This window comes from Homo sapiens, chromosome X (genome assembly GCF_000001405.40).
Source record: "Homo sapiens chromosome X, GRCh38.p14 Primary Assembly".
Taxonomy (NCBI): Eukaryota; Metazoa; Chordata; class Mammalia; order Primates; family Hominidae; genus Homo; species Homo sapiens.
Window position 1 is genome coordinate 36,718,787 of NC_000023.11, and position 27,568 is coordinate 36,746,354.

At 42.9% G+C, this 27,568-nt stretch overlaps 1 long non-coding RNA gene and 1 pseudogene across 1 annotated transcript; both read left to right on the plus strand.

Moving 5' to 3' along the window:
• On the plus strand, nt 1,132–1,435 carry H2AL1Q (H2A.L variant histone 1Q; annotated as a pseudogene).
• Nucleotides 1,595–27,343, plus strand: LOC105373155 (uncharacterized). The gene is made up of 4 exons (XR_950546.3): nt 1,595–1,745; nt 2,348–2,488; nt 25,159–25,332; nt 27,214–27,343. It is a non-coding gene; the product is annotated as an uncharacterized LOC105373155 (long non-coding RNA).
• Nucleotides 27,344–27,568: the final 225 nt, after the last annotated feature.

Here is a 27,568-nt window from a genome sequence, read left to right on the forward strand (position 1 = left end):
GGGGAGATGGGAATAGGAGTGACCGCTTAACAGTCTGAAATCTGATAGGGATGAAAATTGTGAATGTAGTGTAGTAATGGACACTGAATTGTACACTTCAAATAGTTAAATTGATAAATTTTATGTTATGTGAACTTAATTAAAAAGTAAAGTAAATACAAAGCCAAAAACTCAATTCCCAACCATGGTTTTCAACAATGGGAAAAACTTATTGGCTGTAAAATAAACCAAAAACAAAACAAAACAAAAATGAACCAAAAGCAAAACACTAAATTAGCATAGAGGAAAACACAAATTATAAAAACAGAGTCAACAAAGTACTATTGGTGAATTAGATTCACATAGGAGAGTCAATACAACACATGCTGGGCTTCAAACTTGCATGTGTGTAGTGCGCTTCTGTCATCAAAGTTTACATGGTTCTAGTAGGTAAAACAATTGGACATATCAGTGTGTCCTACAAAACAGGTAAAGATAATTATCAAGAGTGTAAAATCATGACACTCACACAAATGTGAGCACGTTAAAATATTTATCACATATGGAAATTGGCAGATATTATAACCAGTATAATGGAGAATCCAAAGAACAGAAACATGCATACTGATCAGGAATAGTGAATGGAATATGTCAGTGGAGGCAAAACTGGTTAGTGTAGTGTGTATTGGTCTGGGGAGACTGAACCTACCGTTGAGGTCTCTAAGTTGTGCATGTCTCTCAGTGACCTACAACTTACAAACGGATGTAAAAGAGCTCAAAGACAATGCAGGACTAGAATCAGATAGATTACATGGAGTTGTATCCTATGAACAAGGAAAAGGTTTTCATTGAAACACACATTTTTTGCTAGAATGTTAAAATCAAGTAGATAGTTAGCATTCCCTTAAAAAGAAGTTCCAGTTACTAGGGTGACCAGATTCCTCTCATGGGCATTTCTAGGCTGAGGCCTGATCACGGCCCAGTGGACACCAATGACATCACAAAGTGGAGGTTGTCACTAAGGCAACTGATGACCAGTGAGGGGCTGGAGCACAGGGGTATAGTGGGCTGCAGTAAGCACTGGCACCTTGAGAGACTCAGGCCAGCAGAAAAATCAAGCTGTGACAACCGGGGCAAAACCCAGCAAACATCATGGCTGGAAACAAACACAGTCGCAGCTCCTGTAAGCCTAGAAGACAGTGCCTTTCCCGTTCCAGAAGAGCGGAGCTGCAGTTTCCTGTTAGCCACATGGAACGCTGCCTGCGAGAAGGTCAGTATGCCCGGCACCTGAGCTCAACCACACCTGTTTTCCTGGCTGCTGTTCTCGAGTACCTGACAGCCAACATCCTGGAACAGGCAGGCAAGGAGGCCCAGAACAGCCACAGGGTGTGCATCACCCCAGAACACCTGAAGAGAGCACTGCAAAAGAATGAGCAGCTAAGATGGATCTTGGAGGAGGAAGATGACATCCACTCTCAGGAAGAAGAAATGCCCCAACCTGAGGAGGAGGAGGAGGAGGACGAGAGAATGGAGGAGGAGGAAGAGGAGAAAAAGGAGGAGGAGGAGAAGGAGGAGGAGGAGGATGAGAGAATGGAGGAGGAGGAAGAGGAGAAAAAGGAGGAGGAGGAGAAGAAGGAGGAGAAGGAGAAGGAGGAGGAGAAGGAGAAGAAGAAGAAGAAGGGAGGATTCCTGAGTTTCAGAGCTGTGCAGGACTTCATCAGCAACCTCTTCCAGCTGCTAAAATTCCCATAGATGAAAGACCCCAGGTTGCTTCCATCTGCCCAAGCTATTAAACTGTATAAATGCACGACAGTGCTCCTGATTCCTCTCAGTTTCTGTCACTTTGGGTTGGAGGTGTCTGTGAGACATTTAGGAGAAACTATCCCTAGAGAGCTGAAGTGGGGGAAGGGGTGGCCTGTGTGGGGAGTGTTTGAATCAGTGATTTAGAGGGGGCAGTTCTCAATGGTGACGGTGAGGGCACTGGCCCTGTGAGGAGGAACTGGCTTGGGTAGACACTGAGACTTCCTCATTGTCTCTGAACAGGAAGGCCTTGTGAGGCCAGGGAGTTGGCTGGGGGCCTCTGAGGCTTGTTGAATTCCCAGCCTGATGCTGGGGCCTGAGGTGGAGCTGCAGACTCTGACTGAGGTGCGGGAGGCTTTATTCAGGATAGCAAAGGTCTGAAGTCAGAGGGCGGTGGCCACAGGGGTGGGTGGAAAGAGGGCACACTGGCTGGCATGAACTTCATGGGACAGGGGATTTACATAGAGATTGTGCTGGGGTTGTCCTCAGGGCCATTTGGGAGATATGCTTGTCTGAATCCCAGAAGCCTTTCTTGCCACATGATTTCCACTGAACCTCATATTCCCAGGCAACTCATTGTGAAGATGCCCACCCCACCACTGGGTGATTCCTTATGGAGAACTATAGAGCATTCCCAGCCTTAGCCCAGATCGTCACTTTCTCTTCTGTGCATTTGAGAAGCAAGCAGGCGTCTCTCCAGCATCTGCAGGTAGGGAGTCTCCTTCAGCTGATCACATCATGGTGACAGCAGCACCCCCTCCCCTTGCCAAAGTGAAACATCTTTGTTTTCAGGTTATGTGTTTCTGCTAGTCCAGTGTCCTCCAGTCAGAAGAGAGTGCCTCTAGGATGAGTAATGGCAGCAAACTGATCATTTTCCTCAGATCTTGACATATTGGCTAAGTAGTTGTCTGGTGTTTAAAAGCTGCTGATGTTGCTTATGGCTGTGGCTTATTGTAGAACTAGACATAATGTCCTGGATACTTCACTGGAATGCACATCTGAGGACTTCACTCAAGGCAGGAGAAGCCATAGTAGGTGGGTGGCCTGTGGCGGGTGAGTCCCTCTGTGTACTCAGGTGGTCACCTTACAGTTTATGCAGTCATCAACACTAACGGTCACTGTGACCCTGTAAGGACCCGGGCTTCTGGGCTCCTTCAGACTCTGTTTCATGTCTGAGGTGGAGTTTGAAGGTTGACCTTGGATGAGCCCCTGTTTCAAGCTCTCTGCAGAGTCAAGGGGCATGGGAGAGTCAGCAGGAGTGACCACCATCCCTTTAAGAATTGTGTTCAGCTGTGCTTGTGGGTTTCACAGGAAGCATGGGGGCCACAGCCAGCATAGCATCAGGCTAATGTGGCACCCTGCCAGATCTCCCTTCCACATGTGCAAGGTATCCTACACTCAGGGGAGACAGGGAGGAAGAGAGAATCGCTGCCATTGGGAAGGCATGAGCTCACCCATATTTAGGCCTTTTGTGCATTTCTAACAGTCAGGAGGGAAAGGTGAGGAAGTAGTCCCTCTGGCCTGTGCCCTGTGGACAGGACAGCATTGGTGGCCAGTGCCCTATTGGGATTGGGAAAACTAACTCCCGAGTGGGCAAGGGCAGAGGCTGGAGTGACTGTGGCTTCCAACTTGTCCAGTGATCACAAGCAGTGTCAGGGCAGGCCGGGGTCAAACTTGTGTCAAGACTGCAGGAAACTTCATGTGTGAGGAAAGATGAGCACCAGAGTTGAGGCTGGGGGCAGGGGACTTGGAGGTTAATGGTGGCTTGGTCTTGGCATGAACACAAGGCCTGGTTACCAGACTGGCCTCCCAAAGAGAACATCCTTTGCAACAGAAGCATTTTGAAGGCCCAGGTCTCCTGGTCCTTGTATGTGACAGATATTGCACATGTGTTCTGAGGGAGATGGCAAGATTCTTTACAAAAGGTCTTTGGAACCCCAAAATAGGATTCAAGTAAAAGAAAATATCAAATACACTATTTCCCGAATGCACAGATTACACACTGCCAGCCCACATGCCTAATCTGGACAACAGGTTTGCTAATCCTACATAGACATTACTAGTATCCATTTTTACAGATGTGGACACCAAGGTTCAGAGATGTTAATTAGCTCACTCAGTCACATGACAAGTATGTATAGCATAGTGGGGGCAAGAGCCCAGCCTTCCTTACCTATTGTTTTGCTCTTTCCTCTACTCTATCCTGAGAAATGGGCCTTGAGAAAAAAATTAATGTTTTCTTCTAGAAAACAGAAACTAGTCTTCAATACTAAGATGTTAGGGTCTATTGGATATCCAGCAAAGCATCTAAATAACTTACTCTCAATTACCTTCATTTCTGTTTTATTTGGTGAAGGCTGGATAAGCTAGGATTAAAAAGACTGATTGTATGAAACTGCTTCTCAACTGAGGTGTTTTTGAGAACTGCCTCTGTTCACTGTCATGGTCTTAAAGGTGATTATGTGTCATCAGAAGTTTCTGTTAGCTGAAGTCTGTATCAAAGAGACTGTTCTTCGAAGTACTAGTACTGAGGGTACTGCCTTTTTCCTCAAAGCTGTGAAATTGTCTTTTGTCATCAAAGACAAGAACTCTGGTTTTTATCTGGTGGCAGAGCCTTTGGGAAGCATCAGAGTAAACTGAAAAAATTATCTGGAGATGACAGGTTTTAATTTAACAGCTCATCAATAATAACAATAAACAAACCTAATTATTTTAACACAATGCTATCCATAAAGTGAAAGAACAAATATTTGTGACATTCCAGGAATTCCATGGAAAACCACAAAGAGTGTTATAGATGCCAAAGATGCTGTGAAAGTTTTATTCTTTATATCATTTTTCATAGAGAATTTAATTTGGGAATGTAAAATTTTAAAGTTGACTAGAGTTTTATGCACTTGAGATGGGCAGAACTCAACAGTAGGTGTGTGGGTAGAGGAAACATCCAGACTAGGTGTAAACTCGTTGGGAAGTCCATAGGTAGGTGGCACAGGTAGCCTAAAGGAGGTATTGGTAATTATGCATGGTTAGAGCTAGTCTAAGAGAGACATAGCAGGAAGTGCATGGTTTGAGGAATTCTCCAGCCTTGGGAAAGATACTGCAAGAAATGTATGAGTAGAAATATTATATAGCTTAGGGGAAAATTCAGCAGGAGATGCACATTTGGAGGAAGGAGTCAGTCTATGGGAGGCCTTGATGAGAAATCCATGGGTCAAGTGAGCACCCAGCCCAAAGAAGAACATTAGAAGAGATGCATGGGTGGAGAAAACATCCAGCTTAGTAAAAATAAAAAAAAACCCAAAAAACAAAACAAACAACACCTCAGCACGAAGTGTATAAACTTAGATGAGAGTTGTGCATTTGATGCTATAGGTTGAGGTTGCAGCATGCCTAGGAGAGAAATTATCAGATGGTATGTCGGTGGAGGGAGAATCTATGGTGGAAAAGGTCTTGGCAGAGAGTGCATTATTGGAGGGCACAGCAAATCTAGAGGAATTTCTGGAAGAAGGTTTATTGTTGAAAGGGGCATCCAGCCTAGAAAAGGACTCTGAAGCAGTTGCATTAGTGGAAAGTGCATACAGTCTAGGAAAAAGGTTTATAGGTGGAGGCAAAAGGTTTATAGATGGAGAATGTAGCCAGTTTAAGTAAGACATAACTGGTGGCACATGGAGAGAGGGGGTATCAAAGATGTGGGGAAGAATGTGCAAGAGTATCATCGGTATATGGAACATTCAGCCTAGATAAGCACCCAGAAGACGTTTTATGAGAAAGGATGGAGTCATTCTAGGGAGTCTTCTTAGGAGGTTATTGGGTAGAGGTAGCAATCAACCTAAAAGAGGACTCAAAAGGGTGTACATGGATGGATAATGCAGCTAGCATAGGGGAGGGATTCAGCAAGTCGTGAATGGGTCAAGATGGCATCCAGCCCATGAGAAGAGTAAGCAGGAGGTATGTGGTGATGGGAGTATACAGCCTAGAAGAAAAACACACAGGAGGTGCATGGATGGAGGATGCAACCAGCCTATAGGGGGACCCAATATCAGGTTCAGTAGTGGTGAGTACAGCTGGCTTTAGGGAAAGCCCAGCAGTAGCTGCAGGAATGGAGGAAGCATTCACAGGAAAGGAAGAACTTTCAGCAGGTAAATATTGGATGAAAAATTATAAATCTATCCTAAGAGAACACATAGTAGAAGGATCATCCAGTGAAGGGAGGAACCTACAGCAGGTGCACGGTTGAAGCAAGTGGAAAGCCTGGGGAATGACATGAGAAGTAGTGGAGGGATGAGTGGAGGGATGCAGCCAAAACAGGAAAGGAATTAGCTGAAGGGGCAAAGATTAATGATACAAGCCTGCTGGATGATCTGAGAGAAAGTGAATGGCTAGAGGGAGAAGTCAGCCTGTGGCATTGCATGGCAAGATGTGTACAGATGGAAGAGGAGGAAGTCAGCCTGTGGCATTACATGGCAAGAGGTGTATAGATGGAAAGTGCAGAAAGGCTATGAGAGGCCACCCAGACTGCTTATGGCTGGAGGATTCATCAAGTCTAGGGGTGGACTTGGCAAGAGATAATGGATGAAGTGTACATCAAGTCTAGAAAAGAACATAGTAGAAAGTGGATAAATGAAGTTTGCAGTGGGCCTAGGGTGGGATCTGGCAGGAAGTTCAGGGGTGGAGTTAACACCCAGTATTAGGTAAGACTTGGGAAATGGGGGAGTAATGGGTAATACAGACAGCTTGAAGAGGAAATGGCATAGAGTGCATAGATTGAGAGTATAGCCAGTTTAGGTGAATAATTTGCAAAAGTTGCATTCATTTAGAGAGCATCCAGACTAAAGGGAAGCTTAGCAGAAGGTGCATGGGAGGGTAGGGGAGGATGTCACAGAAAGTGTATGGCCAGCAACAACATCCTTTTTCTCTCTCTGCTTCTCCTTGTGAGTGACCCTCTGTGGCCCTATGTGACACACCACGCCTCTTGTCCTCTGGGGAACTGTGAGTAATAAACACTTCTTTCAAAGGCAGTTATCTTCTTGTCTATCATCTTGCCATACCTAATTATAATAAAACATATCTCGAGTACATTTTTAAACAATTGGTGCATTGAGCAGGGTAGTTTGGTGATTGGTGAGGATGACATGCCTCTAGACTGCTCTTGGCTTACTAACTGAATCCAACAGAGAGTAAATACTGCCTGGAATGGCACTGCTGGCTTGTATTTTAGCAGCTGCCATTGTGTTGTGACTGTCAGGTACTGCTCTGATTCTCCAGTCTAAATTATGGTAGAGTTCAAAAAGCTGAGTCGTCCCTGAGCAACTGTCCTTAGAGTGCTGTAGTCTGGGTAAAGAAGTCTCCAGTTGACTTCTTATGTATTTACAATGTGTCCAGAAGTGACTATGGTAACTGGCTATTGTACTATGTGAAGGTTGTCCAGAAGGGACAATAGTGTGAAATAGTGTATCACAAGACCAAGAGCTTTGATTTTAGAAACAAGCATAAGAACAAACCAGGCAGTGCCACAGTTGCCCTCATGGAACTAGACTCCAAACCTGGGGAGACTGACTGGGACACCGTAGAACAGGAGATGCCACCTATAGGCAGGACCACAACACCAAAACACTGCCACAAGTAGTAAACAACCAAAGAATAAAAACCACTGGAAAGAGGAGCGAATAGGAAAACAAGGCAGAGACTGAGTTGGGACCTTTTCCTAATATGCAGTTACCACCTTTTGAGACACTATAGGACTCTAAAACATCATCCCCAGACAAACATATGTATTAGAGACATGGGCATCTCTCATGAAAAAAAAAATTAAAATGGGCCAGCCTGCTTATTATAAACTCCAACAACCAAAAAACCTGCTAGATACCTTTGAAACTCATGCAGCAGGGGAAGTTCCCCTCTCTTTACTTCAATTTGGTCCAAAATAGTGGATAGGAGATGCCCCACTGAGACGAAGAAAGGCACTTCCAGTTCCTAGTTAATGGGTTCCTAATATCATGTCCTGACCTTCAACAATGGCAGCCACCTAACTCCCTCCTGAAGGAGACAGCAGCTCCCCAAAGCTTGTCTCACTGCCTGGGGAAAATCACCGACATACTACCAAAGTTTTCATTGAAGCTCAAAGAATAGCCAACATTTTCTGGTCCTTTTAGGTACAGGGATACAGATAACAGTTACTCTGGGTATCCCATCTCTTTTCAAATATATATGTATATATATACATATATATTTGCAACCTATTTAAAATTCAGGGCATATTGGGTCACCCCATTAAGGGCATATGGGTTCCACTTGATGCTAAAATGGGATCTCTTAGCTAAATTCCTTGTGATATTCCCTCTGTCTCTGGCCCATCTAGTCATAAGCATGAACACCAAACACGTTAGGGCCACCTCTTAAATTGGAACATGCCAAAATCCGCACCACTTGCTATAAGACATGCTCAAGGAGAGATCATAGTCCCTCTGCCTCCCCTTAAAATTGTCAAGAAGACTCAACACAAGCTATGACAATGTGCAGCTTGACTCAGGCCTATTATTTTAATCTTTTAAAAGATAGAATTGTGGTTCCTATCATCTCTCTTTTTAATTGCAGTATCTGATCAAAGCAAAAGGCAGACAAACAAGAATGGCCTAAGTATAGATTACTGCCACCTCAATGCATTTGTTCTGTCCATGGAGGCACCTTTTCCTAACATTATTGAAGTTATTAGTATCAGGGTTCACCTAGTGATTTACTTGTGGTAACACATCTAGTCAATATTTTCTACTCAACATCCATTGCCAAAGATTCACAGCCACGTTATGCCTTCTCCTTTGAGGACACACAATATACATTCACTTGATTATCTATAGACTACCTCAATAGCCTGGCCATAGCACATGACTCTGGAGGAAGGACTTATAATTCATCAATTTACAGCATTCCCACTTTTGGCACTATGTAGATGACATCTTACCTAGGAGACCTTCTCAAGATAATGTTACACAGGGCTTACATACTCTTACACATCACCTCCAAGATAGGAAATATACATGAATAAAATACAGGGACCTGCAAAGATGATAAAATTATTGTATATCTTGTGGTCATCAGAGGGTTCTTCCATTCCTGGTTCAGTAAAACACGAATTACTCACCCTCTTCATGGTACCACAGACACTTAAACAGGCCCAAGATCTCCTGAGCCTCTTTACCTTTCAAGACCAACACATCTCACATGTATTCAGTATACTTGGACCCACATATGAGGTCATATGCAAGTCAAACTTCCTCCATTAAGGCCTCTCACAACAAATCTTAATAGTCAGATAACTTTACAGTAGGCATTGACCTTGGTTCCCTTGGGATCCAACTTTTAAATCAAGGCTTTGGCTACAAAGGACTATGCCTCTTGGAGCTTCTGCATCAGGCATGGTTTTAAGTGGTTGCCCATGGGTTTTTGGAATAAGTAACTTCCTCAAATGGCAGATATTCACCTCTCAAACAACAAATTCTGTCCCTTCTGGAAACTGAGGCCCTAATTGGCTCAATTCTATTTGGCATCCAGACACAAATCCTTATCATGCCTTAAGTCAAGACTCCATGCCAAGAGGCTAGGCATGGCCACAGAATCCTCTTTGGTTAAGTGGAAATAGTAATTTAGAGATTCAGTTAAGCCTGATGCCACAGGACTTTCCAAACTTCTGAAGAATTGGCTTCCCATGTGCTCAGTCCCTTGGCCATGCCTATTAAGGAGGTGGAGGTATACACCATGTCATTCCTAGTAGTGATCTAGGGAGCTCCTTGAGATCAAATGTCTGGCATAGGAAGTCAGTATGCCTCACCAATGGCAGGGCCACCATCCCACATGGTGGGAATCAGTAGTGAGTGGTGGCATACCACACTGCTTCTGGTTCCTCTATCACAAGGAATAGACATGAGGGTTGGCCCAATTGGCAGAGTTTGAGGCTGTCTACCTGATTTTTCAGGATGCCCTGCATTGCAAATTGCCTGAGATTTGTTTGTTGACTGATTCCCGCATGGTCGTCATTGGGTCAGAAAAATTGAAGCAAGATAATTTTACCATTCAGGGAAGGTCTTTGTGGGCTATCTCATATGGCAGACATTACTTCATCCCCCATACTTATTCTTGTTTTGCACATCTCTGCACATATCAAATCAAATAAATCAGAATCACATTATAATTCTATCACAGACAGCTTAGCAAGAAATAAATTCACTGTACTAATACATGGATCTGCCTCTCCCAGATAATCTCCATTGTCTGCTTTTGTTCATGGCCAGATAAGCATATGAACCCTAGGGACACCTAGGGTCCCAGGCTACTTTGGGAACAAAGGAAAGACTTCCTTTATAAGGTTTCCAGACATCAAAGTTGCCCAAATTAGCTGTAATCTGTGTACCTTTACCAAACACTGGCCTTTATCATCTGTAGATACAATTTCTCGGGGCATGAGGCCATATAGTCAGTGACAATTTGATTCTATTGGGCCTCTGCCACTCTCTGCTGGTGCCACCTGATATGCTTTTATCATGAATTACACATATATGGGTTTGCTGTTAGCCTTCCACTCCGGGCATTCTAATTCTGAGTCTACTATTTAGGACCTTACTAGGTTGGTCCTTACTAGGTTGGTTCCTTGATCATCCTTCCAGTTCCTGCAGACTTGCATCCCTGACATGTCCTTAACTTGGCTGGCTGTACTCTCCCACTCTGCACCTCCTGCCAAGTATTCTTAGGCTATCTGCACCATCCACCCACGCACCTATTTATGGGCCTTTGATGCTTCCTCCACCCATGCATTTCCTGCATATTCCTCCGACAAGGCTGTATAATGCTTTTACTTCTGCACCTCCTGCCATGTTTTCCCTTAGACTTGCTATATTCTCTGCTTATGAATCTCTTGCCAGGTCCTCTCTGAGAGTGGCTGCATCCTGCACAAACATACCTACTTCTGAATCCTATCCTAGGCTGAATACCCCTTCCACCCTTTCACTTCATGTCAGTATTTTTCTAGACTTGTTGTACTCTCCAACAATCCACTTTGTGCCATGTCTTCCCTGAAGTTGGCTGCGCCCTCCCATAATTACTCAATCCTGTATACCCACCACCCCCACCCCAGGATGAATTCTGAGGTAGAATGTATGCCATTCACATCCGTGCACATCCTGCCAGATTTTCTCCTAGGATGTCTGCACACTTCACTCACGTTCCTTTTACTGAATCTTCCCCTATGCATGGTACTCCTTCCACCATTCAACCGCCTGGATGTCCTCACATCTGCTTACTGCATCCTGCATCCACACACCTCCTGCCAAGTCTTCCCTTACACTGGCAGCATCCTCCACTCATGAACTTCAGGCCAGGTTCTTCCATATGATGGCTGCATTGTCAACAATGTACCTCTTCTCAAGTCCTCCCTTAGACTAGACATTACCTTTTCCCTTGCACTGCATACTAGTCATTCTCTAGGCTCCCTGCACCCTCCACATATACACATTCTGCTGCAGATAGCGTTATGTTGATAATCTCACCACCCACACATGTTCTGCCATGCCCTCTTCACTAGGCTAGATGCTCCCTCCTCCCATGCACATCATGCTGAATTATCAAATTTGGCTCCATTACCAACCCTTGAAATTAACATTTAACCCTCCAATAGTTTAGATACAAAGAATATCCTTGCATTTTTTGCTAGAAACCCTCCTACTCCAGCTTCACTCTCTGTTGATGCACTTCCTACAGGTTTCTCTGTGAGGCTAGCTTCACATTTCCTCATGCAAATCCAGCAATGTCCAACTGACAATGCAATTACTGCTAGTTAGTTCCCAGACTGGCTACACCCTCCGAACCATGCACTTCTTGGTGCACCAAACTTCAGGCTGGCCTCACTCTTAAGCTTCCTGATGGGTCCTCCCCGAGGCTGGTGCATGCTGTAGTCATAATTTTCCTGACTACTCTCCCTTTGACTTGCTGAAAATGCCACAAATGCACTTAGGACTGAGTACTCCCTTAGCCTGGATCTCCCTCACTCACAGAATTCTTGCCATGTCCTTGCTTAGGCTTTACCCTCTCCTAAACCCCCTAAACCTCCTATGGGGTTCCCCCCTAGGCTGCCTTTTCCTACCTCAGTTGCACCTCCTGAGTGCCTTACTATAGTGTGTACATATGCACGGAGTGCACACATACATATAGCACCTGATGGGACCTCCACTAGCCTGGATGTTCCCTCTACATGCCATATCCTCCTTTATACTGCGAGTTTCCTACACCCTTTCATTCCAGCCAGAATGTATTTATTATAAACTCATAAACCTACTCCAATGTTATTCCATAAGCTTTCTGTACCCTCCACCTATATTTTTCCTAACAAGTTATACCATTGGCAATCCACCCTCTCCACCCAAATTTCTACCAAATCATCCCCTTGACCAGATTCTCTTTCCTCCCACAAACATCCTGCCATGTCCTAACCAAGGCTGGATGTAACCTTGAGCCATCCACTATTCTCCGATTCCTCCTGTATGCTAGAAATCTTCTCTAATGATGTTCTCTCCAACCATTCATATAACACTGAGTCCTCTCCTAGGTTGGCTCATCCTCTTCAGATACCATCTTCCCAAGTCTCCACTAGGTTGCATGGCCCCTCCACCCACATACTTCATGCTGATTCTAACCCTAGGCTTAATGCTCCCACCTCCCATGCATTTCTTGATGAGTTCTTCCTAGGTTTGCTGCACCATCTTTCATATACTCAATGCTGAGTCCTCCATTATTCTGGATCCTTCCTCCACCAATGTCATGCCAAAATCTAGGCTGATTACTCTTTCTACTAATGCATTTATTCCACCACACACCACCCATGCAATTTCCTCCAGGTTCTCAACTATACTGGATGTATCCTTCACTTCTGCACTTCATGTGGAATATTTTCCTGATCTGGCTCCAACATGCACATCTTGCCATGTTCTCCCTTATGCTGGCTGTATCATTCTCACTGTACCTTCTTCCTACTCCTTTCTTATGCTAGATAGACACTCCAACCATACGCTTCCTGAACGATTATTTCTTAGCCTGGCTGCACTATGCACCCACGCACTTCCTACTGATTCCTGCTTTACGCTGGCTGCACCTTTCACCCAAGCAATACTGTCACTTCCTACACTAGAAATTCTCTGCACTGCACAAATGTACTTCCTATAGAGCTCAAACCTAGGCTGGCTGGAGTCTTTGATAATGTACTTTCCCCTAGTCTTCCTCTAAGCTGGTTACTACCTCCACATATGTACCTTGAATATCCTGCCTAGTCCTCTCCTAGACTAGCCATACCCTTCATCCATACACTTCTTGTTCCGGGCCTAATCTGATTGTTCTCTCATGCACCCTATAACAAGTCCTACCTGTGCTGGATGCTCCCTCTAGCAATGTATATCCTGCCATGTCCTAACCTATGCACCTCCCCCTGAGCCTTCTACTAGACTGGATGCTCCTTTCACTCATACACTTCCTGCAATATGCTCTCCTAGGCTAGATGTTCCCTCCTTCCTTGCACATTCTAGTGAATTCTTCCTAAGGGTGGATGTTTCTAATTCCCATGTATATTCTTCTGTATCTTCTCCTAGTCTGGGCTCTTCTGTGCAACTAGTTCTGACTGCTCTTCATTGCTGGCTGCTCCAATTACCCATGTACTTACTGAATTCATTCATAGGCTGGATGTTCTCTCCACCCACACACTTCTTGTCAGGTCTTGCATTGGGATACCTACATCATTTAGCCATGTACCTTCTGCTATATCATTCCCTAGACTGACTGCAACTTCCACTCCACTTATGCACATTCTGCCCTTCACTACTCTAAACAGGGGTAGTGAGTTGAATGGTGACCCTCAGAAAGATATGTCCATGTTCTAATCTCCAGAGTCTGTGAATATAATCTTATTTGGAGAAAATATACTTGCAGATGTAATTATTTTAAAGATCCCTAAGATGAGATCCTTCTAGATTATCTGAGTGAGCCCTAAATCCAATGGAAAATATCCTTATAAAAGAAAGGCAGAGGGAGATTTGACACAGACAGAGGAAGAGAAGACACATGAAGGCAGTGTGACCATGGAGAAAGAGATTGGGGTGATGCAGCCAAGTAATCTGAGAAGTAGTCATAGCCACCAGAAGCTATAAGAGGCAAGGAAACATTCAACCCTAGAGATTTTGGAGGGAGCATGGCCCTGCCAACACTTGATTTCAGACTTCTAGCATCCCAAACTATGAGATAATACATTTCTGCTGTTTTAAGCTAACGAGTTTTTGGTAATTTGTCACAGCAGCCCGAGGAAACTAATACAGAAAGCTTCATTCTATACTCCTGCACCTCAGCCCAAGTCCTCTCCTAGACTAGTTGATCCCTCCATCCTTAAACCTCCTGTCAACTGTCACTTAGGGTGGCTGCAGCCACCATTCATGCATGCTGCCTGCTGAATCCTTCCCTAGCCCCTCTGCACTTTCATCTTATACACTTCCCACCAAGGCCTCTGTTCAGCAGGGATGCCCCATAACACCTGCATTGCAAGCTCCACACATATATCTGTGGATTATCCCCTAGACTAGATGCATTTTGCATCCATGCACTCTCAGTCATAGCCTCTCCCAGACAGGATGCTCACTTCACTTATGCACTTCCTGCTGGGTTCTTTGTTAAGCTGGCTGCATCCTGCTTCCATGCATAACCTAACACGTCCTCCCTTAGGCAGGTAGCACATTCCAATCATAATACACCCCTAGGATGGCTTCACTCTTTTCCCATATACCTCCTACTGGCTGTTTCCCTATGCTGGCAGCACATTCCACCAATTAACTTCCTTTAATGTCTTGTTCTAGGTTTAATGTTCCCTGCACTGATGTACCCCCTACCCAGTCCTCCCCCTGTTTGGTTGGACTTTTAATCAATTCCTTCCAGGTTCTCCCTAGACTGGCTCCTCATACCACTCCTTCACTTTCTGCTGGGCCCTTCCTTATATTGGTGTACTTTATGCACCGACTGCTGTATAGATAGGAGTATATCTTAGAGTGGCTGTTTCTTTACCCATGTCCCTCAGGCAAATACTTGCCCTATCTAAATGCTCCCTCCACTTGTCAATATCATGGAAAATCCTCCCATTGGTAGCCTGCACCCTCCACCCAGGCTTCTCCTGTTTTGCCTTACCTACACTGAAAGATCCCTCAATTCAAGAACTTCCTACCGGGTTATCTCTAACTTAGCCGCTTTCTCCATCCATCCACCCATTTCCAAGCTCTTCTTTAGAATTGATGCTCTCTCCACCCATGCACATTCTGCCTGCCCTTTCTCAGGTCTACCTGTACCCTGCATCCATGCTTTCCTTATAGTACCTCATTTAGGCTTCTTGCTTCCATAGCCCAAGCACTTCTTGCAGGGGCCATTACATGGGTGACCGCACCCTGCATCTCTGCACATCTTTCCATGACTTTCTCTATGCTGAATGTGACTTCCATCCATCCACTTTCCAGTGGTCCTTCTCTAGGTCTGATGCTTTCTATATGCATGCACTTCTTGCCTGGACATTCCCTGATATAGCTGAACCTTAAAACCATGCCAGGGCTTCTCCTAGGCTGGAGGCTTCTTTCTCCCTTGAACATTCTGCTAAGATCTCCCCTGGGTTGGATATTACTTCCATCTATGCACCAAGTAACAATTGTCCTTGATTCTGGCTGCAACTTGCACTCATACATCTCCTGCCATGTGATTCCACAATCTGGTTGAACCCTTCACCCATGCATGTTCTGCCTGATTGTTATCTGAGCTGGTGGCATCAGGCACACATACACCTTTTTACTATATCTTTTCTTATGCTGGTTGCACCTGGAACCTATGCATCCTTGAGCTCCTGGGTGAGCTGCACCTTCACCCTTGCTCCGCCTTCCAAGTTTCCCACAAAGCTGGATTCTCCCTTTCCCCATAAACATCTTGCCAGTTCCTCCTCTAAGCTGGCTACAACCTGTATACATGCATTCCCTCTTTTGCCCTCAAGTTAGCTTGGTGTTTGCCCTACCCATGCACTACTTCCTCGGTGGTGAGCTAGGCTGTATGGTCTCTCTGCCACTGCACTCATGCGGATTACTCCTACTAGTTTGGAAGTGTCCTCAATCATGCCCCTTATAGGATGTCATTCCTTATGCTGGCTGCACAATCAATGTATAAACCCCTTGCCAATACCTCCTTTGGGCTAAATGCTCCTTTGAATCGTGCAAATATCTCTCTGTTCTCTCCTAGGCTGACTACACCCAGCACACATTAGTCTTATGCTGTGTCTGCTCTTAGACTGGTTTCATTCTTGATCAATGCACATATCCGAGTACATTTGGCTTTCAACAAACTGCACCACTGCCCTCCATGCCATGTATTTTACTGGATTACATCTCCTGCCATACCCTTCTTTAGGCTGGCTGAAACCACCACAAATGTATCTTCCATGGTTCCTATCCTAGACTGACTACATTCTGTATCCATGCCCACCTGTCATTTATTTCCCTGGGCAAGATGTTATTTCTTCCACCTCTACACCTCTGGTCAGCTTTACTGCTAGGCTGGCTGTACCATGCACCATTGCAACTCCTGCTGAGACTTTATCTAGGCTGGCTATTTCATCCACTCATACACTTTCTACTTATTACTTTCCTAGGTTGGCTGCACCCTGTACCAGCGCACCTCTTAGTATATCCTACTCTAGACTGACTTAACCTTTAACTATATACTACCTGCAAGATTTGCTCTATAATGAATGGCCCCTCCTCCAATACATTTCCTGCACGTCCTCATCTAGCCCTAGTGATTTCACTCCTGCATTTCTTGCCAGATCATCCCATAGGCTGAATATACCTTTCACCCATGAAAGACCTGCCAAGTGTCCTCTAGGTTGAATTCTTCATCCTCTCATGCCTGTTCTGCCAGGTCCTGCCTTAGGTTGTATGCTCCCTCCAACCATACACTTCTTGCTGATTCTCGTCAGGCTGTTTCCAACTTACATAATATAAATTCTACTGTTTCCTTCCCTAGGCTGACTATATCCTCCAAACATGCACCTCCTGCTATTCTCTCTTAGGTTAGATGCCCCAAACAATTATGCATGCCCTGAATATTTCTCACCTTGGGATGGAAGCTCCCTGAAACCATACCCTTCCTACCATATCCTCTCATAGACAATCTGCACATTCCACCCCTTAACACCCCTACCAAATCTTACCTCTGGATGCTCTCTCTACCAGTGGATTTTCTACTGTGACTTCCCCTGATTTGGTCATTTCCCCAACCACGATGCTCCTGTTGAATGCTCCACTGGCTAATGCTCCCATTCCCAATGCACTTCCTTCCAGGTCCTCTGCTAAGCTAACTGCAATCTGCATCCATACACCTCCTACTATTTCTCCTCCTAAGAAGGCTGCATTCTTAATTCTTGCACTACCTTTTTGGTCCTTTTGGCTGACTTTAACTGCATTCCTGAAGATCCTCCCATGTCCTCCCCTAGGCTGGTTACACCCTGCAACTGTGCACCTCCTGCCATATCTTCCCCTGGGTAGGTAGTACCTTCCACCTTTGCACTTCCTCTGAGTTTTGCCCTAGGCTGGCTGCACCCCACACCCATGCAGCCATTATCAGAGGCTTCTTTAGATAGACTCTACTATCTACTCAAGTACCTTTTACTGAGACTTCATGTGATAGTTAACTTTAATGTCACTTTGACTGGGCTAAGGAATTCCCATATTAAAACTTACTTCTGGGTGTGTCTGCAAGGTTTTGAGATGAATATCTGAGTCAATGGGCTCAGTAAAGCAGATTGCCCTTCTCAGTGTGGTTGGCCATCATCCAATCCATTGAAGACCCAAATAGAATTGATAGATTGAAGAAGGAGCAATTTGTCCCTTTTCTTCCTGCCTCACTGCTCAAGCTGGAACATTTCACCTCATCTTTTCCTGTGCTCAGGCTGGGATTTACACCATTTGCTCTTCTACTTCTCAGGCCTTTGAACTTGGATTAAAATATACCATTGGCTTTCCTGGGTTTCTAGTTTGCTGATGGCAGACCATAGGACTCCACAGCTTCCATAATGACATAAGCCAATTTCTCATAATAAATCTCTCTCCATACACACACAGCATCACCACCACCACCACCACCACACACACACACACACACACACACACACACACAAACACACATACACAGAGAGAGAGAGAGAGAGAAATAAGTTTGTGGAAAAAAATGAAATTAGAAGATAAAAATTCTAAAAATGTACTATATTACTTGTCTTAAGGTCCATCAAGTTCAAGACACCTTTTTAAACAATGATACCACTCATATAGTTCATCCCTAAAGAACAGAGGTTCCAGGAAATTTAATCATGTCAATGCAGTCTTTTTTATGGTTAACTAAAGTAAAATCTTTAAAGTTTTTTTTTAAGATAAGAAAACCAAAAGAAGCCAGAAAGAGCCAAATTAGGACTGTAAGGTGGATACTTTATAATTTCCCATCAAAACTCACAAAAATTGCTCTTATTTGGATAAGAAGAACGAGCAAGAGCATTGTCGTTGTGATGGTTAATATTGAGCGTCGACTTGATTGGAGGAAGGGTGCAAGGTATTGTTCCTGGGTGTGTCTGTGAGGGTGTTGCAAAGGAGATTAAAATTTGAATCAGTGAACTGGGAGAGGCAGACCCACACTCAATCTGGATGGGCAACATCTAATCAACTGCCAGCATGGCCAGAACAAAGCAGGCAGGAGAAGATGGAAGAGCAGACTTGCTGAGTCTTTCAGCCTTCATCTTTCTCCGACGCTGGATGCTTCCTGCCCTCGAACATCAGACTCCTAGTTCTTCAGCTTTTGGACTCTTGGACTCACACCAGTGGTTTGTCAGGGTCTCTTGGGCCTTTGGCCACAAACTGAAGGCTGCACTGTTGGCTTCCCTACTTTTGAGGTTTTGGGACTCGGACTGATCCACCACTGGCTTTCTTGCTCCTCAACTTGCAGATGGCCTATAGTGGGACTTTACCTTGTGATCGTGTGAGTCAATTCTCCTTAATAAATTCCCTCTCATATATATATATATTCTATTAGTTCTGTCCATCTAGAGAACCCTGACTAATACAGTCATGATGGAGAAGGACTCTCTGGTGAAGCTTTCTCAGGCATTTTTCTGCTAAAGCTTTGGCTAACATTCTCAGAGCACTCCCATAATAAGCAAATGTTATTATTCTTTGGCTCTCCAGAAAGTCAACATAGAAAATGCTTTCAGCATCCCAGAAAACTGTTGTAATGACCTTTGCTCTTAACTGGTCCACTTTTGCTTTGACTGGACCATTTTCACTTCTTCGTAGCCATTGCTTTAATTGGCTTTGTCTTCAGGATCATACTGGTAAAGCCAAGTTTAATCTCTTGTAAACATTCTTGGAAGAAATGCTTCAGGATCTTGATCCCATTTGTTTAAAATTTCCACTGAAACATTTGCTCCTGTCGGCAGCTGATCTGAGCACAATGGCTTTAGTACCCATTGAGTGGAAAGTTTGCTCAACTTTATTTTTCAGTCATAATTGTGTAAACTGAACTAACTGAGATGTCTATGGTGTTTGACTACTGTTAATGCGGTTAATCGTCAGTACTCTTCAATTAGGGCATGAACAAGATTAATTTTTTCCTTGAAAATTGATGCAGATCATCTGCTGCTATGAGCTTCGTCTTCAACATCATCTTGTCTCTTCTTCTTCTTAAAACTGGCTATCCATCTGTAAACTGCTGATATTTGGGGACATTGTTTACATTTTGTGAAGCATCAGTGATTTCACCATGCTTCCACTCATGCTTCAACATAAATTTGATGTTTGTTCTTCCTTTAATTTTAGCAGAATTCATGTTGCTCTCTGGTAGGGGCCCTTTTCACACTGATGCCTTATCCTTCTTAGTACCTCAAGCCAGATCTTGTTCAGACATGTTACAACAAAGTAGTGTGAATTTATTTTGTTGCAAAAAATGTTTGCATTTTTCCATATTTCATACTTTCCATGAACTTTGTGAAGATCCCTCATAAATATATATATATATGTATGTTCTGCTTCTCTGCAGAACCCAGGATAATATACCTCTCACTGCTTCCTAATCACATGTAAATGCTGAAAGATCCTCTCTTGAGCTGGCTGTATACTCCAATTTTACAAATCCACCAGAATCCCCCATAATCTGACTTAATTCTCTCATGCAATTTATTCCACTCCTATTCCAAGTCTGATGCTTTCTCCACCCCTGTACTTCATTCTGGGTCCTTCCCCAGACTGGTTACTTTCTGCACCCATACAAAAACTCATGGGACCTTCCCTAGGCTGAATTTTTTTTCATGCACTTCTTTCTGAATCTTATCCTGGGATGGGTGCTCCCTTGGTTCATGCACTTTATGCAAATTGTCCCCTAGGGAGTCTGATCCTTATATCTCTGCACCTGATCCCATGTGTTCTTTCAGGCTGAATGCATCCTCCACTCTAAAATCTTCTGTCAGATCCTACAAGAGGCTTTCTGTATCCTCCCCCATATATATCCTGTGGGTTTTAACCTCAGATAGCTGCAACTTCCACCCAGGCACTTACTGCCATATCCTCCACTAGGCTGGATGCTCTCTTCACTCATGTACTTCTTCCCAGATCCTCTTCTGATCTGGCTTATCCTGACACTGATGCAATACCCTGTTGTATCCTCCTCTAGAGTTGCTGCACCCTACAATCATGGACCTCTGGTCAAGTCCTCCTCTTGCCTGAATGCTACTTTCACCCATGTACTTCCTGGTAAGTCTTCCTGGAGGCTGGCTTCAAATTACACTCATGCACCTCCTGTCAAGTCCTCTCCTAGGCTAAATTCTTCCTCAACCTATGAACTTTCTGCCAGGTCCTCTGCTAGTCTGGATGCACCCTGAATTTGTATACCTCCTGAAATATCCTCCCTGAGGCTGGATACATTCTCAAGCCATGCACTACCTGTTCATTTTTACCTCAGGCTAGACTATCTGTCCACCAATGCACTTTCTCCTGGTTGCTCCACTAGGCTCACTACACATTCTACCCAGGGACTTTGCAAGTCCTCTCCTAGCCTGGATGCTTCCTTCACTAATGCAGCTCTTCTCAAATCCTCTCTTAGTACATATTTTCATTCCACTGATGCATTGTCTGAAATATCCTCCCTTTAGTTGGCTGAACATACCACACATGTACCACCTACTAGGTTTTCCCCTTTATGGATTCTTTCTTAGACCATGCATCTCCTACCAAGTCCACATCTAGATGGAGTGCAACATTTCCTCATGAACATAAATCTGTGACTTTTTCTAGATATACTGGAATCTCCACCATGCACCTTCTGACATTTCTCACCCTCAGTTGGCTGGATCCTCTATTATGAACATCCTGCCTGGTGTTTTCTTAGGCTGGGTATTCCTCTGACCCATGCAACTCTTGCCATGTCCCCTCCTAGGCTAACTACACCCTCTACTTACATACATCCTGCTAGGCTAGTTGGAACTGGTGCAATTTTACAGGAATTACCCCCTTGGGAAGATGACACCTCTATTCATGTTCTTCCTGCTAAATACTCTCCTAGACTGGCTGCAACCTCCACTAATTCACTACCACCCAAGAAAACCCTTATGTTAGCTGTACCTTCTACCGATGTACCTCTTTCCGGGTTCTTGCCTAGGCTGGATGGTCCCTACCCCCAATCAATTTTAGTGAACACTTCTCCTAGGAAGGAGAATTCTTCTGGTGCTCCTTCTACTGAGTCTTCACTGTGAATAGGTGCTTGCTTCACCATTGAACATCTTGTCATCTTTTCCCTGAGTCTGACTGCATCTCCCACCCATACACTCCCTAAACAGTGAAAATCTAGGTAAGCAGCAACTTTGTTTTCACTTTTATTTTAAGTTCAGGGGTACACGTGAAGGTTTGTTCATGGAGGGTTGTTGTACAGATTATTTCTTTACCCAGGTATTAAGCCCAGTACCCAATAGTTATCTTTTCTGCTCTTCTTTCTCCTCCCACCCTCCATCCTGAAGTAGACCCCAGTGTCTGTTATTTTCTTCTTTGTGTTTATAAATTCTGATCATTTAGCTTCCACTTAAAAAGTGAGAACATGCAGTATTTGGTTTTCTGTTCCTGCATTATTTTGCTAAGGATAATAGCCTCCGGTTCCACCTATGTTCCCACAAAAGACATGATCTCATTCTTTTATATGACTACATGGTGTATATGTACCACAGTTGTTGTTTTTTTAATCCAATCTGTCATCAATGTGCATCTGGGTTGATTCCATGTCTTTGTTATTGTGAATAGTGATGCAATGAACATCCGTGTGTATGTGTCTGTATGGTAGAATGACTTATATTCCTCTGGGTATATACTCAGTAATGAAATTGCTGAGTCGAATGGTAATTCTGCTTTTAGCTTTTTGAAGAATCACCATACTATTTTCCACAATGATTGAAGTAATTTACACTCCCGCCAGCAATGTACAAGAGTTCCCTTTTTTCTGCAACCTCACCAGCATCTGTAATTTTTTTTACTTTTTAATAATAGCCATTCTCACTGGTGGGAAATAGTATCTCATTGCGGTTTTGATTCACATTTATCTAATGATCAGTGATATTGAGCTCTTTCATATTCTTGTTGGCCTCATGTATGTCTTCTTTGAAAAATTGCTATTTATATCCTTTGTCCACTTTTTAATGGAATTGTTTTTCTCTTGTAAATGTGTGTAAGTTCCTTACAGATGCTGGATATTAGACCTTTGTCAAATGCATTCTTTGCAAATATTTTCTCCCATGCTGTAGGTTATCTGTTGACTCTGTTGATAGTTTCTTTTTCTGTGCAGAAGCTCTTCAGTTTGATTAGATACCACTGTCAATTTGGTGTCTTTGTCATGAAATCTTTGCCCATTCCTATGTCCAGGATGGTATTTTCTAGATTGTCTTCCAGGATTTTTATAGTGTTTTGGTTTTACATTTAAGTCTTTAGTACATCTTGAGTTGACTTTTGCATATGGTGTAAGAAAAGCATCCAGCTTCAATCTTTTGCATATGGCTAGACAGTTATCCCAGCACCATTTATTGTTAGGGAGGCTTTTCCCCATTGTTTATTTTTGTCAGCTTTGTTGAACAGCAGATGGTCATAGGTCATAGGTGAGTGGCCTTATTTCTGGGCTCCCTATTCTGTTCCATTGGTCTTAGTGCCTGTTTTTGTACTAGTACCATGCTGTTTTGGTTACTGTAGCACTGTAGTATAGTTTGAAGTTGGGTAACATCATGCCTCCAGCTATTAGGATTTTCTTGGCTAATCAGGCTATTTTTGGTTCCATATAGATGTTAAAATAATTTTTTCTAGTTCTGTGAAGAATGTTGTTTGTAGTTTGATAGGAATAGCATTGAATCTGTACATTGCTTTGGGCAACATGGCCATTTTAATGATATTAATTCTTCATATCTGTATTAGTCCATTCTCATACTGCTATAAAAAACAATCTGAGACTGAGTAACTTATGAAGGAGAGAGGTTTAATTGACTCACAGTTCTGCAGGCTGTACAGAAAACATGGCTGGGAGGCCTCAGGAAACATACAATCACGACAAAAGAACACAGGGGAGGCAAGCACGTCTTCATATGGCAGCAAAAGCGAGAGAGCAGAGGGGGAAGTGCCACATACCATCAGATCTAAAAACTCACTCACTATCATGAGAACAGCAAGAGCAAAATCCGCCCCCATGATCCAGTCACCTCCCACCAGCTCCCTCCCCCAACATTGGGCATTACAATTTAACATGAGATTTGGGTGGGGACAGAGAACATAACTTATAATTCCACCCGTGGCCCCTCCCAAAGACTGTGTCCTTCTCACATTTCAAAACATAATCATACATTCCCAACAATCTCGCAAAGTCTTAACTCATTCTAGCATTAACTTAAAAATCCAAGTCCAAAGTCTCATCTGAGGCAAGCCAAGTCCCTTCCACCTATGAGCATGTGAGATTAAAAACAAGATAGTTACATCCAAGATACTATGGGGGTACAGGCATTGGGGAAATGTTCACATTCCAAAAGGGAGAAATTGGCCAAAATAAAGGGGATATAGGCCCCATGCAAGTCCAAAACTCATCAGGACAGTTGTTAAGTCTTAATGCTCCAAAATAATCTCTTTTCACTCCATGTCTCACATCCAGGGCACACTGATGCAAGAGGTGGGCTCTCAAAGCCTTGGGCAGCTCCACCCCTGTGGCTCTGCAGGATAGAGCCTCCACAGCTGCTTTCATGGGCTGGCATTGAGTGCCTACAGCTTTTCCAGGCCCATAGGACAAGCTGTTAGTGGGTCTACCATTCTGGGGTCTGGAGGATGGTGGCCCTCTTCTCACAGCTCCACTAGGCAGTGCCCCAGTTGGAGATTCTGTGTGGGGACTTCAACTTTGCATCCCTCTGCACTGCCCTAGTAGATGTTCTCCATGAGGGATTTGTCCCTGCAGCAGACTTCTTCCTGGGTACCCAGGCATTTTCATACATCCTTTGAAATCTAGGTGGCTCCCAAACCTCAAGTCTTGCCTTCCGTATACCCACAGGCCCAATACCATGTGGAAGCCACCAAGGCTTGGGGCTTGCACCCTCTGAAGCAATGGCCAAAGCTGCACCTTGGCCCACTTTAGTCATTCCTGAAGTTGGAGCCCCTGGGATGCACGGTGCCATGTCCTGGGGCTGCATAGAGCAATGGGGTCCTGGCCCTGGCCCACAAAATCATTTTTCCTTCCTAGGTCTCCACACCTGTGATGAGAGGGACTACCACGAAGTTCTCTAAAATACCCTGGAGGCATTTTCCCCATTGTCTTGGCTATTAACATTCTGCTCTTCTTTATTTATGCAAACCTCTGCAGCCTTGAATTCCTAGCCAGAATTTTTTTTTCTTTTCTACTGCATGGTTGGGCTGCAAATTTTCTAAACTTTTATGCTCTTATTCCCTTTTAAACATAAGTTCTAGTTTCAGGCTATTTATTTGTTTATGAAAATTAGTGTAGGCTCACAGACCTCAGTGCTCAGTTCCTAGGAAAACTACATTTACTCTTAGCATCACCAAGGAACTAAGGTCTAGCAAGCATCAGGTTCTTGGAGTCTGTGTGCTAATTAACACACATCAGCCAGCAGCCAGTTAGCAAATCAAACTTTTACTGCATGCAAGGCACTGTGAGAGTTTCCACCAAGGACAGTAGATCTGAGAATAATCATTCTGAGATTCTATAGAGTAAAAATTTCCTAAGAATTCCTTGAATCACAGAATGGTAAGTGATCTCTAATATTTTGTCCAGCTCTAGGTTCCACCCCATAATTTTACAGAAGAGACAGACATGCAATTAAGATGACCTGCCTGGGGCCCACAACATTAGATCATTTCCTCATATAGCATGAATTTGACAAAGTTCACAGAAAATGGAACGTACTCACAGGGTGCCATCAAAACAAAAAGGCTGGCTCAGAATCAGGTAAGACAAATTTGTGGCAAGATAAGATCATTCATTTATATATATGGATATATATCAATTGTTTTAGTCCACATACTACATGAACAGGTATTAATAAAATCTATTCATTTGTGTGGAAAATTTCCCAACCATTTGCTATTTAAAGGAACCCAAATAATTTGACAGTTGTTGCAAAATATTTTTAAAGTATACTTTTATAGGCATAAGAGAATCTAATTTCAATAAATGTGAGCACTTATAATCAAATCAGCAAAAAGTATTTCCACTGTGTGAAACTGCTCCAGTTAATCAGGTGAATATAATTTCTATATCCTCCTAGGTCAATATAGTACATTTTAATACAATATTGTTTGGGAGCTTTATGTTCAAGTAGTGAGGTTTTATTTTTTTAAAATGGCAGCTTATTTGTAAACAAAATAAAAATGCTAATGATCTTTTAAAGCTTTCATACATTTGTTCAAAGACTTACACATTTTTAAACTTTATTCAAACTTCATCAAAAATGGTAGATAAAACAGTTTGATTGCTCAGATATTAGTGTTTACAGGCCATAATAATAATGTGTGCTTTGTCTGTGTAGAATCTGTCTATGCAGTTGGTATTCAGGCAAGAATTATAGCTGGAACAACAATGGAAATATTGGAGGACCCACTTTGGCATTTATGTGAAGATTTCATATCCTATCCAACATTTACTTTAGTGTCTAATCAAATTCCATACCCTCAAAAAGATCTGTTGGAACAAATTGATAAAATTAGGTGGAAAGGAAAGTGGTATGGGACTCAAATGCAAGTCACTTCTGGTTTAATTATTGGCTCTGCTGCTTAATTCCTCTGTACCTCACGTCCTCATCATTGAAGTGGGGACAATAATCTGGGCCTACCTCACAGGGGAATTGAGGATATTTTGATATATTAGTGTGCTTTGAAGTTGACTGAAAGATATACTGGATATCATAATTATATAATTTCTAAATAGATTTCTTTAAATCCATGCTATGTTTTCTTTCTCAGTCAGGTCCTACAGAATGACTGTTGCAGTTGATCTATTATTTTAATAGTAAATTTTGTTATTAATTCCCTATGTGTTAAACGTGGGTAATTGTATTAAGTTAATACATATTTAGGGAGGAAAAGCAGGTGGATATAAATCAGTGGTTCCCAGCTTCAGCAGATGATAGCAGTGGAGGGTATCCTTGAGCTTTTTGTAATATTTCAAAAAGTATATTAGAAATTATACATTTACCCATAATATTCCTGCTTCACAAGCCAATTAAGACATTGAATTTCTATGCATTTTGCCTATGTGCTCTCAATTCTGTGTTATCACTGCTTGCTTATCAACAACTGATCAAAAGCTGTGAATGGCAGTATGTTTTTGATTAATAATAAAATAAGAAAGCCTATTATGTGCAACCTATTAAATACTTGGAAACATGGGAAAAGAATAATGAAGGGATTCTTGTGGTCAAATGTTGGGAACCACTTTTATAAAGGAACTAAGATTATTTGACCCTCTCCACAGGTTGCTTACCTAGTCTCTAAATAATGAAATGTGTGTGTTTGTGTGTTTTGGCTATATTAGGCTATATAACTTCAGGTTAGAATTTGCCTTCAGTTTTTTTTTCTGTTTTAGAATATAACTGGCCTAATTTATTTAGGTGTATACATGTTGCTCATACATACACACACATATAGGATTACAAATGTGGAAAATGCTATAATGTCATATTCTAGCATTGAACTAAATATCAATTTCTGACACTTAAAGTAGTTCTGTATATAAATTCAACATGATGAATCAAGGCAATAATTTCTCAAATGCTCTTTTATTTCTTTGTTTGTTTTTATCTCGACTTTTTTTATTTTCCATTTTTTCTAGTATGCAAATAGTGTAAAATTGTTTTAATGCCTGGACTTTGAAACAAGTAACAAGTGTTCGAAAGTATATAATCTAAGAGCGAATTTGCCCTCCTTGGACTAACCACATACAAATATGAATCTGGCTGCAAGAACAGGATATCCAGGTAACCAGAAAGTGGGCATTGATAAAAATATCTGGTGAAGAAGCCTAGGATTTTGACTTTTTGTCAGAGGATTCCTGTTGGGACAGCTTTACCAGAAAAGAATAATAGTGGATATGTTCATCCAAACTAAGAACTTTCATGCATCTTGCATTGTTACATAGCCTGTGGAATGAATTCATTTTTTCTCCCTTGAGTCCAGGAATGACTTCC